The sequence below is a fragment of the Homo sapiens genome, chromosome 6 (assembly GCF_000001405.40).
Source record: "Homo sapiens chromosome 6, GRCh38.p14 Primary Assembly".
Lineage (NCBI taxonomy): Eukaryota > Metazoa > Chordata > Mammalia > Primates > Hominidae > Homo > Homo sapiens.
In genome coordinates, this window is record NC_000006.12 from 24,477,222 (window position 1) to 24,490,583 (window position 13,362).

The 13,362-nt window shown below is 42.9% G+C and overlaps 1 protein-coding gene across 4 annotated transcripts in view; it reads right to left on the minus strand.

Annotated features, from left to right (window-relative positions):
* GPLD1 (glycosylphosphatidylinositol specific phospholipase D1) overlaps positions 1-13,362 on the minus strand; it is a 71,319-nt gene that overhangs the window by 53,253 nt on the left and 4,704 nt on the right. For 3 of the 4 annotated variants that reach the window (XR_007059240.1, XM_017010753.3, XM_047418658.1), the window contains exons 2-4: positions 12,194-12,276; positions 8,854-8,909; positions 2,660-2,738 (exon numbers count right to left, since the gene is read on the minus strand). Coding sequence is in view for 3 of the 4 variants with exons in the window: in XM_017010753.3 (XP_016866242.1) it covers positions 2,660-2,738; positions 8,854-8,909; positions 12,194-12,276 (218 nt within the window). In the remaining variant the exon portion in view is untranslated. Of the gene's footprint in view, positions 1-2,659; positions 2,739-8,853; positions 8,910-12,193; positions 12,358-13,362 lie in introns of those variants that run through there. The other variant, NM_001503.4, reaches the window with a different exon arrangement.

The following is a 13,362-nucleotide window of genomic DNA, read 5'->3' on the forward strand; positions in this document are numbered from 1 at the left end:
AAATCCAACAGACTGGAAGCAGAAAGTCCCCCAGGACATACTAGATGCTGACAGCTGGCAAGCCACTGCCCAGAGACTTGAACTTACCTGTCTATACCATAGCTCACAAAGGGTCAATCAGACCCACTTCTAATCCTGTTTAAACCAGATGTCCTTGTTACTGTAATTACAAAGGCTAATTCAGTATTAGGTAAACTAATACAAATGAAGAGTTTTGCTGGGTGCAGTAGTGCACGCCTATAATCCCAGCACTTTGGGAGGCTGAAGTGGGAGGACCCCCTGAGGCCAGGAGGTTGAGACTAGCCTGGGCAACATAGCAAGACCACATCTCTACAAAAATTTAAAAATAAAATAAAAAAGTAGCCAGGTATGGTGGTACACACCTATAGTCTCAGCTACTCAGAAGGCTGAGGCAGGAGGGTTGCTTGAGGCCAGGAGTTTGAGGCTGTAATGAGCTGTGATTGCACCACTGCACCCCAGCCTGGGCAACAGAGCAAGACCCTGTCTCTAAAAAATGTAAAAATAACTTTAAAAAAAAGGTGTTTTTTCTTTGGCAATTAAGTATCTAAGAAAGCTAAGTGCTTTGGAAAGATGCAATGAAAGTGAATCATCACCAAATAAGAAAAGGAAAACTACAGTTGAATTAGGTATGTATGAGACAAGGTAAAATGTGGAAAAATGCAAAAAAACCTAAGTGGAATAAGTGGAATTTGTATGCAAATTCCCTGTAACTAGTCATATACCAGTCCCAATCTTTTCATCACACAAGACTATTTATTGCTGCAGAAAAAACTGGAAAATGCTAGGTAAATACTTTACATTCCTTTTCCACTCTCCTCAGAACCTTGATTAGTGTGGGTTTTGTCTGTCTCTAAAAATGGCGTACATTAAGCAATGTTGCTCAAATTGAATGGACAAAAATATCCTTTCTTCTTTCTTTTTTGTAGAAGCTATCAAGGGACAGTAGAGCTCCCATGAATACAGTTTGGGAAGTGCTAAATTAGAAATAATAGGTTAGAAAGGAGAACTATAACATGCAGGCAAAATAATAGGATTGAGAAATGATAGTTAACAGACTAAGAGGGAAACAGAACAAAACTCCTTATAAATATGAGAAATACAAAAGCTAGCTGCCTGGGATTCTAACTGCAGGAGTGATTAGCCCCAGATAGTTCATTTCAGTCCCAAAGACATCACTGAATTAAAGGAATGGGATAATAGCAGATGACCCAAAACCCCAGAAGCAGTTTATACAAGTACCCAGCGTGCTGGGGGCCTCCATTTGTCCTTCCAGACCCACTCCCCATCCTTCTCTACCTTGTAGGGTGACTCTGAGGTCACCTGCTTCAACTAGCTTCGTGGCTCTCTGGCTTTGATTGGGTTGGGTTTGGCCAATAAAGAGAACTGACAGATCAGAGAAAAAGAAGACACAGAAGTTGGGGTATATATTCTCCCAGCTCCCCTTCTGTGGGGTCACAGTGGGCTGGCTGTGCCCCTTAGCTGAAGGTCCAGCTCTCAAGTGGTCCTCTTCATGCAGCTCTCTCTCTCCACGGTTCCAGTAATCTCTCCCTCCCTTGAACTATCTTTTGCAATTCCTCGCCTCCTGTCCATATCTTTGAAAATGGTGCCCTTACTAAGCTCCTCTCCAATTACTCAGTTTGAGTGTGACTTCTGGGTCCTGCTGGGGCTCTGACTGATACGACTCATGAGACAAGTTTACTGATAATGACAGAGCAGAAGCATTGCCATCTTGGACAAGAACTGCCATTTTAAGTTCACCTTGACCAAAAATTGCCTAAATCCAAAGGGCATCAGCCTAATGGGTACAGTCAGCATAACCATAAATCACAGATAACATCTCCAATCAGAAACATTCCAAACCCCTCCCCAACCAGAGACGTGCAAGCCCCAAGATAACCTCCCCTCCAGCCAGAGAGATGTCAACCCCAAGATAACCTCCCCTCCAACTAGAGACATTCCAATCCCACCATAAACTTCTCCCCCACACAGAAACATTCCAAACTCTCTCACCAATAAATACTCTCAGTCTGTAAGAGAGAGAGTGTTCCTGACCGAAATCGGCCAGAAGCCCCTCTCAGGTTTACTTCTCCAAAATAAATCTGTCTTTGACTGTTAAGCTGCTTTTCATGTTTCTTTCCTCTTTCTTTAACTCTTACAAATAATAGTATCTGCGATTTGCATAACACTTGACAAAATACTGTGCATTAATGCCAAGGACAATCCAGTCTAGGCAGGGCAGGCAGGACAATCCAGTCTTTGCCAAGACATGAAAATTGAGATTCTGTGGATAAGTGACTTTTTTAAGATCACATGCTAATATAGAAGGAACACAAACTCAGACCTTTTGATCTCTTGCAAAATGTCTTCTATCATGTCACTTAGGTTTTCACCAAAAAATAGTTTTCAGAATTTCTATGCTTAACTAGGTCAGTTATAGCTAAATGGAAAATGCAACTATGTAAACTAAGTCATTAACCAACAATATTGTTGGGAAACAAATTGTTCTCAACAATAATGGAAAATATACTGTGCAATTAAAAATATATTGTACACACATATATATATATTTTTAAAGTCATAGCTATTCCTATTAACCAAGTAAAAGTGACTTCATTCAGTCTGCAAACTTTCATCTTACCTCCTTTGCAGATGCTAGGGTAAAAACAATCAGGAAACACGATTCCAGCCTGATACGCATCCTGGTGTTCTAGTAACAGCTGCAGAGCAAGAAAATACAGAGATTAAGGGGCAGGAGTCAACAGCCTGGGGAGTATAGGCCCCACCAATTTTCTGTGATGAGATGCTAGAAATATGGGGGTATAGATGGAATGAAAGGGAAAAAGGAAGGAAAGCAGGCATAAAGTAAATAAATGATTAAAATTCACACATAATCCAAGACAAAACACAACAATATATAACTTCAGATTCTTCCCTACCAAACACAGAGAGGCTAATTTAGAAACAGCAGAAAACACTTGTTTAAATTTCATCTTCTTTCATTTTCTCTGTCAATCCAGTAAAGCAGGATTTCCCTGAGGCCTTAAGGTTGTTTTACTGACCCAGAGCTGTTGTTTTTGTTGCTGTTGTTGTTTGTTTGTGTTTTGAGATGGAGTTTTGCTCTTTTCACCCAGGCTGGAGTGCAGTGGCGCAATCTCAGCTCACTGCAACCTCCCAGGTTCAAGCGATTCTCCTGCCTCAGCCTCCCAATGTGCTGGGATTACAGGCATGAGCCACCATACCTGGCCCACAGCTGGTTTTTTATAAAATTTTCAATGATTCACAGTGAAAAGAGAAAAACGGACACACAAACGCACGTACGCACGCACACAAACAAGCACGCACATATGTGCATATCAGTTTATAGTTGCTACCTGTGTTTTAGTGTAAGATGACGTCCTTTGTGTTTTGGGAGGGCTAAAAAAAGTGCTTTCCCTTTTTAAATGATGTGAAAGTAGATGGTAGCGGTTTTCTTCTAAATGTTCTTCCTTGGTCAACTGGCTCACTTCCTTCCATTCCGAGTCCCTTATGGGATGTCTAGCTGCATGCTATAGGCTAGAAAACACAGACTACATTTCCCAGGCTGTCTCAGCTCACAGTCTGATATGGCCCAGCCTCCACCACGGAGCCCTCGGCTAACATGGAAGCATTTGGTTTTTCCACAGCAGAGGTAGCACAGCCCCTCGTGTTGCAGCTCTGGCTTCCCACGTGTTTATGGGCAGAGTACAGGACAACCATATTGTTAGTAAGGCAGGTGCCCGAGGTGGTGATGAGGTCCCAGAACCAATAGGTGAGGTGGTGGCTTCTTATTTTACAAACCGTGTATGAGACCGTTGAATTTGTAGCAAATGGGGCAGTGAATGCCTGTCAATGGCAGGAGTAGCAGCTCCTTGACAGGCCAGTTCTGTGCATTATTTTGGGAGTCCTTTCTGGACACCTGGCCTAGAGCCTGCTCCTGCAGTTCCCACAGTTTGTAAGCAGTGAATTCTCTAATTCCTGGTATTAATCCTTTCCTTGCCTAAACTAGCAGAGGGGTTTCCATTATCTGCAAATGAACTCTGATGGACACACTGGGCAAAGTAAAAGTTTGGCAATATCCCGCCCTTTTTTTTTTTTTTTTAAATAAGAACTTACTAATAATGTGGACCATATATAGGTGCAACAAAGAAGTACTTCAAGAAATTAAAACACAAAGAAAGATAGTATCATCTGGTTTTTGGTTTTGTTTTTCTAACCAGTATCCCATTCTCCTCCTTCTAGAGGCAGAATCACCCTCTCCCGAGGAGAGCCCATTCCACACCGCTCAGGTGGGGCTGACCAGAATGCTGTGGCCAGCATGCCCACCCTCACCACAGAGTTTGGCTCAGAAATGGACCTTTGAGCAAAGCTAGTTCCGTTCACACCTTCCCCAAGACTTCTCCACTAGAGCTCTGGGAAGATGCCCTCTTCCCCTTGTGGCTGCTGAGCTCTGACGCTGAGTGCTAGGCTGTCAGCATTCCCCACGTGGAGAGATATAGAAACCATCTAGAGCTCTGGGCCCAGTTCCACACTGCAGATATCAGTTACATGAACCAATAAAGTCCACTTTTTTCCAAAAGATAGCTTGAGTTGGACTTTTTTCACTTAAAAATAGTAATTAACTTTACTGGCTATTTACTTAACCAGTCACTGTTCTAAGCTCCTTATATGTATTAAGACTTGTTGAATCTGCATCTCCCAGTGAGGTAGGCATGTTATTTAATGTGATAAAATAATCTGAAGTAAATTTTAAAAATTATGCCAAAGAGCAAACTGTTGAGGAAAAAAGAAGAGTACTAACGAAGGATGTATCCTTCAGATATTAAAATGTATTTTTGGATTTTTTTTTTTTTTTTTTTTTGAGATGGAGTCTCACACTGTCACCGGGCTGGAGTGCAGTGGCGTGATCTCAGCTCACTGTAACCTCTGCCTTCCGGGTTCAAGCAATTCTTCCTGCCTCGGCCTTCTGAGTAGCTGGGATTACAGGCACTGGCCTCCACACCTGGCTAATTTTTGTATTTTTTTTCTTTTTTTCTTTTTTGAGACAGAATCTCGCTCTGTCACCCAGGCTAGAGTGCAATGGCATGATCTCGGCTCACTGCAACCTCTACCTCCCAGGTTCAAGTGATTCTCCTGCCTCAGCCTCCTGAGTAGCTGGGATTACAGGCACCGGTCACCACGCCCAGCTAATTTTTGTATTTTTAGTAGAGACAGGGTTTCACCAGGTTGGCCAGGCTGGTCTTAAACTCCTGACCTCAGGTGATCCACCTGCCTTGGCCTTCCAGAGTACTGGATTTACAGACATGAGCCACTGCGCCCAGATAATTTTTGTATTCTTTAGTAGAGACAAGGTTTTGCCATGTTGGCCAGGCTGGTCTTGAACTCCCGACCTCAGGTGATCTGCCAAAAACATATTTTTGGCTGGGCAAGGTGGTGCACACCTGTAATTCCAGCACTTTGGGAGGATGAGGTCAGCGGATCTCTTCAGCCCAGGAGTTCAAGACCAGCCTGGGTGACATGGCAAGACTCTGTTTCTACAAAAAATTTAAAAATTAGCCAAACATGGTGGTGCAGCTACTTGGGAGGCTGAGGTGGGAGGATCAATTGAGTATAGGAGGTTGAGGATGCAGTGAGCCATGATCACACCAGTACACTCCAGCCTGGGTGACACAGTGAGACCCTATCTCAAAAAAAATACATATTTTTAAGCTATAGAAACAAAACAAAAATAGTATGATACTGAAACCAAAAGGAACAGATCAATGAAACAGAATAAAGAATACAGAAAGGCTGCACGCAGCAGCTTATGCCTGTTATCCCAGCACTTTGGGAGGCTGACGCGGGCGGATCACTCGAGGTCAGGAGTTTAAGATCAGCCTAGGAAACATGGTGAAACTTCCACTCTACTGAAAATACAAAAATTAGTGGGGCATGGTGGTGCCTGCCTGTAATCCCAGCTACTCAGGAGGCTGAGTCACAAGAATAATTTGAGCCTGGGAGGTGGAGGTTGCAGTGAGCTGAGATCATGCCACTGCATTCCAGTCTTAAAATATATATATTTTAAGCTACAGAAACAAAAGTACTATGATACTGAAACCAAAAGAAACAGACCAGTGAAATAGAATAAAGAGTACAGAAAGGCCAGGTGCAGTGGCTCACCCCTATTATCCCAGCACGTTGGGAGGCTGCGGCGGGTGGATCACTTGAGGTCAGGAGTTTGAGACCAGCCTGGGAAACATGGTGAAACTGCGACTCTACTGAAAATATAAAAATTAGCCGGGCATGGTGGTGCACGCCTGTATTCCCAGCTACCAGGAGGCTGAGGCAGGAGAATCGCTTGAACCTGGGAGGTGGAGGTGAGATCACACCACTGCACTCCAGCCTGGGTGACAGAGTGAGACTCCATCTCAGCATTAGAGAAAGGAGTTAAAGATATGGACATGGTGAAGGCTAGAGTAAATCTTGCGGTGTCGGATTAGAATTGGTGGTATTTTCATGTGAACTTATGGAGAGTCTCGTTCTGTCACCCAGGCTGGAGTACAGTGGTGTGATCTTGGCTCACTGCAGCCTCTGCTTCCGGGGTTCAAGCGATTCTCCTGCCTCAGCCTTCCAAGTAGCTAGGATTAGAGGCATGCCCCACCACTTTGTTTTGTTTTGTTTTGTTTTGTTTTGAGATGGAGTCTCACTCTGTCTCCCAGGCTGGAATGGAGCGCAGCAGTGCGATCTCCGCTCCCTGCAAGCTCCGCCTCCCGGGTTCACGCCATTCTCCCGCCTCAGCCTCCCAAGTAGCTGGGATTACAGGCGCCCACCACGATGCCCGGCTAATTTTTTGTATTTTTAGTAGAGACGGGGTTTCACCGTGTTAGCCAGGATGGTCTTGATCTCCTGACCTCATGATCTGCCCGCCTTGGCCTCCCAAAGTGCTGGGATTACTGACGTGAGCCACCGTGCCTGGCCCACCATTTGTTTTTTGAGATGAGGCCTTGCTCTGTCACCTAGGCTGGAGTGCAGTGGTGTGATCTCAGCTCACTTCAGCCTCTACCTCCCGGGTTCAAACGATTCCCCGCCTCAGCCTCCCAAGTAGCTAGGACTAGACTATAGGTGTCTGCCACCACGGCCAGCTAATTTTTGTATTTTTAGTGGCGACAAGGTTTCATCATGTTGGCCAGGCTGTTCTCAAACTCCTGACCTCACGTGATCCACCCACCTTGGCCTCCCAAAGTGCTGGGATCACAGGCATGAGCCATCACGCCTGGCCTATTTCTGAGGATGACATTAGTATTTGGATTAGAATGCATCCTGAAAGGGAGCGTCTGTGTCCATTTAACATGTTTTAAATTAATAATACCTCTACTAGAATACCTTGTAGAATACCTCTACTAGAAATCACTCTGCACACACTCTGGATTGATTGTTCATGTGATGAATTAGGCAGATTCTCGTTTCCACTCCTCTTTCCTGCCTACTTGCCGTCAAGGTCAATGAAGATGACTATCAGATATAAATGCTGTTTTTCCTCATTCGGCCTGTTAGGTTGGCAAGTGAGGAAGCTGAATCTTACGACTAAAAGTATTTTGAGGGTACAATAAATTTCAGTTATCTTACCATCCCGCTTCCCAAATGGATTATGAAGACTTAATGTTATTAAATGATCCAATTCTGATGTCAGAAGGGAATGCTAACCACTTATCAAATATAAGTATGAAAGAATTACACCTTCGTCACAAAGTATTATTTAGCCATAGAACAAATAGTGCATATGATCAGAATGTGTTCATTTGAAGATGGGTAAAGGTGAGTCATGAGCTAGTCCTACCAGGATATGGAATATAGCAGGAGTTGGATGAAGAATCTCTGGAGAATCTCAGTGCGTATTTCTTAATAAATACTTCCTTCTCCTCCTGGTGATGCAATTTGTGCTCAACACACAGTAACAAGAAGTGGAAAATAAATGATCTCTCTCAAGTATGACTTTTTAAAATAAAAACAAAAAAGATGGGCCAGGCATAGTGGCTCATGCCTATAATCCCAGTGCTTTGGGAGGCCAAGGTGGAAGGATTGCTTGAGCCCAGGAGTTCAAGACCAGCTTGGGCAACATAGCGAGACCCCCATCTCTACAATAAAAACAAAAAGATGTGTTCTTCTCAGCAGCACATATACTAATATTGGAATGATACAGAGAAGATTAGCACATTTTTAAAAATGTACTGTTTAAAAAATTTCTCAAGTATTTTTTCAAATTATGAGTCATATCATTAAAATCTTTAAATTTTAAGTGTGATATATATAAGATACCTATAAAATGTTCAAGTAGCACTTGGAAGAGACATATACCTTTTAACCATAATATTAATGTCTTATAACATTAATAACATAATATACAACATTATAACATAAAGAAATAAATAATGAGTCTCTTTTTTTTTTTTGAGACGGAGTTTCACTCTTGTTGCCCAGGCTGAAGTGCAGTGGTGCAATCTCAGCTCACCACAACCTCCACCTCCTGGGTTCAAGCCATTCTCCTGCCTCAGCCTCCCGAATAACTGGGATTACGGGCATGCACCACCACGCCCGGCTAATTTTGGATTTTTAGTGGAGATGGGGTTTCTCCATATTAGTCAGGCTGGTCTCGAACTCCTGACCTCAAGTGATCCACCTGCCTCAGCCTCCCAAAGTGCTGGGATTACAGGCATGAGCCACCACGCCCAGCCAAAATGAGTCTTAAAATTACTGTTTAAATATCTGTTAGGATCTTTGTTTGGCACCTATAAAAGAAAACTAATGCACAAAGAAGAAAAGAAAAATCAAGATTTCTACCTCTCTGTAGTTAACACGCCCATTGTGAAGCTGAAGAAACTCCAGAGCTCTGTGTCCTGAGAGAAATAAATACATAAATCAATTAAGTTCAACTATTACTGAAAACATAACTTAGGCGAGATGATTTTAAAAGAAAAATACACAATTTGTGGTTATAACTGTCAAGGACGCAGGAAATGAAATGAGTTTGCACTCACTGGCAATTTTCATTAGGTATAGGCTTGTGCAGTATTTCTATTGTTATAGTACAAAGCAAGTTTAGATGGTGATTTAAAGTTTCTGCTTAACTATTAAATAACTCTATGAGCTTTAGTGCTATTCAACCTCTCTAGACCTCAGTTCCCTCCTATGGAAAAGAGTTTAAAAAATACCCACCGTATAGGTTGGTTGAAATAATAAATGCTAAGTGACAAGCACAGTGGCTGACACTTGGTAGGAGCTCAAGAAAAAGAAACTGCCAGACCACACATGGTGGCTCACACCTGTAATCCAAGAACTTTGGGAGGCCGAGGAGGGCGGATCACCTGAGGTCAGGAATTCAAGACCAGCCTGATCAACATGGAGAAACCCCGTCTCTACTAAAAATACAAAAAATTAGCCAGGCATGGTGGCGCATGCCTGTAATCCCAGCTACTTGGGAGGCTGAGGCAGGGGAATCACTTGAACCCAGGAGGCAGAGGTTGTAGTGAGCCGAGACCACGCCACTGCACTCCAGCCTGGGCAACAGAGCGAGGCTCTGTCTCAAAAAAAAAAAGAAACTGTCATCATATTTTGCTTCAGTACTGAGGCAGACAAACCTAAGTACAAAATACAATATAACACCTAACCTATGGACTGAACCAATGATCCTCAAAAGTTTTTCATCATTGGACCAGAAGGACAAAATCATCTCAGAAAGCTACCAACTACACCCCACACCCACCCACAGCCTGAATCTCCCAAGAATCAATAAGAGGACTAACATTCCCTGGGAAGTGACATTCAAAGGTGATACCTTATTTCTGTTGTGAATCACCTCCAATTTTTAAAATTCATATAACAAAAAACTATTGCCACTACTATAAGCATTAATATCATAAAAGTCACAACCCACAAATACAAATAACCTGTGTACAGGATTCCAGTGATTTACGCTGAATGAAGCCATTTCTAATTAACTCACTCAGATAATGCTGACCTTCCACTCAGGCCCCTTTATAAGAAATGAAAAAGTGAACCAAAATATTTATAAAATCATCTAATTTATTAGTAAATAAATGATGGAGTTTTGGTCTTCTTCTATGTAAAAAAATTCTCAGAATCCGTGCAGATTCTATTTCAGGAGATGCCTTCAATTATGTTCACATAAATATTATTCTTTAAATGTCCATTAGGACCTTTGTTTGGTACTTAATGAAGAAGGGCAAGCAATTATCTGGTTTTATTAAAATTTCAGATGCAATCTGTCTTGTAAATTTTTAAACACTAAGGATTAAAAATGGAGTATTTCCATTTATATTTGTTCCTCATCAGCTTACTCTGTAGTTTTGGCAATTTCAACTTCACAGAACATAGAACTGCAAGACACTTTAGAATTCTTTAAGAAGTTCAACCCCCTCATTTTATAGAATTGAGAGGTAGGTAAAAAGTGAATTGCTCAGAATCACACATCTACTTTACTGGATGGCTGGAACTAGAACCTAAGTCTGATCCTCTTTTCCATTGTTTCCTGACTCCCTTCTAGCAGTACATTTTTAATGGAAAGAACGCCGGACCAGCTGTCAGGACATGTAATTCTAGGCCAGGCCACTGAAAACTTAGCTGTAAAACTGTCTAGTATCAGTTTCTTCATCTGTAAAAGAAGAGAACTGGACTCGGTGACTTCTAGTGTCCTTTCAGATAGTCAAATTCTGTGATAACAGGTTCTTGCCCATCGTAGCTCAGTATATATGTCTATTTTGCACTGATAAATTTTCATTTTTTGCCTATAATCTTATTATTCTTTGAAACTTCTGGAGGTGGTACAACTATAAAATTCTGTTATAATTTTTATCTAAATTAAAGAAAACTCAGGCCAGGCGCGATGGCTCACGCCTGTAATCCCAGCACTTTGGGAGGCCGAGGCAGGCGGATCGCAAGGTCAGGAGATCGAGATCATCCTGGCTAACATGGTGAAACCCCATCTCTACTAAAAAAAAATACAAAAAAATTAGCCAGGCGTGGTGGCGGGCACCTGTAGTCCCAGCTACTCGGGAGGTTGAGGCAGGAGAATGGTGTGAACCCAGGAGGCGGAGCTTGCAGTGAGCCGAGATTGCGCCACTGCACTCCAGCATGGCGGACAGAGCGAGACTCCGTCTCAAAAAAAAAAAAAAGAAAACTCAGAACATCAGGTATATCTGAAATTAATCTGAAAATTGCTGTAGAATGTTATCACAGCTAATTCTATTACAAATTGACTCACGTTTTCCATGCGTTAAAACATGTTACAAATACACTTCATACAAGAACCAAATCCTTTTGCTAAGAAAGATCTTAAGTGTTCTCAGCCCATATGCAAAAAACATGGTAGCTATGTGGGGGGGGCGGATGTGTTAATTAGCTTGATTGTGCTAATCATTTCACAAGGCATACATATATCAACACATCATGTTGTATATCTTAAATTTATACAATTTTTGTCAATTATACATCAATAAAGCTAGAAAAATAAAAATTTTAAATAACTCTTTGTGGTGCCATCTCCCTATATCCAGGATGACTCTGCCCTTGCCCCTAAGGTCGGTGGCACTGGCTTGCTGTACCCTTCTGCTCTCCAACTCCTGCCATCTTCCTGGCACCGTGCATGTGGATAACTAAACTCCCTTACTTTCTTGACCTTCCTGAAGCCAAGCACTTTTACAGCAATTTGACTCAGGGACCCACTCCCATGGCCACATATGGCTCTTTACATATACTTGGAAATGCCTGTCCTTGGACATGTAAAAACAACAAAAGTACATTTCTCACTCCTGCCATATTCCACCCATCTTGTTCCTCTCCCATTCTGTCAGTTCTGCTGCCACGTTGCAACCTCTCGTTCACTGAGCCTCTCACTATTTCCCCACCCAGAGAAACACACAGGGGTCCCATGACCAATGGGGCATCAGCTCTCTTTCTTATTTGCCCCTTAACTGAAGTCATGCTGCCAATCCCTATCCCTGGATGACTGCAATCACCGGCTTCTCCTCCCTGCTGTCAGGCCACTCAGCTCAGTGCCCAGGGGAAACTGTATCAATCCACGAGCGGGATTTTCAGTCTCTTCCTTAATGTCTTTGACAGATGTATTGTCCTCTCAACAACATAACAAGACACCAGTACTTACCTATTTCTACGTGTGTTGAAAGGCCACACGGTGAACCTCTATGGCAGAGAGAACCCAACATGATCAGCAGGCCAGGCCACAACCTGAAAGCAGACATGATCTCATTGCCCACCGGCTTCTCTGGTGACGTGGGAATGCTCAGAGCTGCAGCAGCACTGGGACTCCAAAATCCAGGTGCAGACCCACCGCTTCTCTCTAAGCAGGTCACTGACCGAGGAAACCAAGCCTCATTTCAAAATAATATCGTTTTCCAATGAAGTCAACTGTCCAACTACTGTTTAGCTTCACCAGAACAGCAAACAAACTCTGTGCTCCTGGGGGGTGGGGTTGGGAGGATAAACTGAAATCTGAAAAGCCTTAGGCCAGAAGCACTGCATCTTCTGACCGAGGTTTTTTCTGGATTTCATTTTAACATGAAATTTGTGTAGAGATGCAAGCAAAGTTGTCTCCAGATATTTTTTGCTTTCTATAAAAAGGCTCACCTGTGCAGATAGTCAACATATTAGACCACCTCACCTTACAAGGGTGGATCTCTCATGCATCCTTTCTACACATTTATCAGGCTGTCCTGCTTCCTCCGCCTCCCAAGCCACAAGTGCTGGGAAAGTTTTATGGTAATCAGCTGGAACTGGCTTCCTTTTCAGTATTTGGCAACAGATACTGACACTTGTATGGGATTACACAAGAGCAGCCACTCCTGGTCTCTCTACCTCTGGCTGTTCTAATAGGGCTTATCCAGAGCCTGTTGCAAGGTCAGATTCCTGCAGCTGAAGCAAAGATGTCAATTCCACTTGGGAGGTGGAAGGAAGGGGGCAGATTTAGGGCCAAGAAACAGGGTTTGGAAAATGTTAAGCTCACGATATATTATCAGGTACCCACTTACACTTCATCCATGGGAAAAATTAAGCTCTTCATGAAACTGATGGTAATCTTAAAACACAAATTATGCATATTTTACATTAAAAGCAAGAGATGGGCTCCTAAAAGAGTGGGAGGAAATAGTATTCACTTCAGGTTTGCCAAATGAAAGGATGAATAGAAAGTGGGATGATTTGGCTGGGCGTGGCGGCCCACACCTGTAATCCCAGCACTCTGGGAGGCTGAGGCTGGTGGATCACCTGAGGTCAGGAGTTTGAGACCAGCGTGATCAACATAGTGAAGACCCCGTC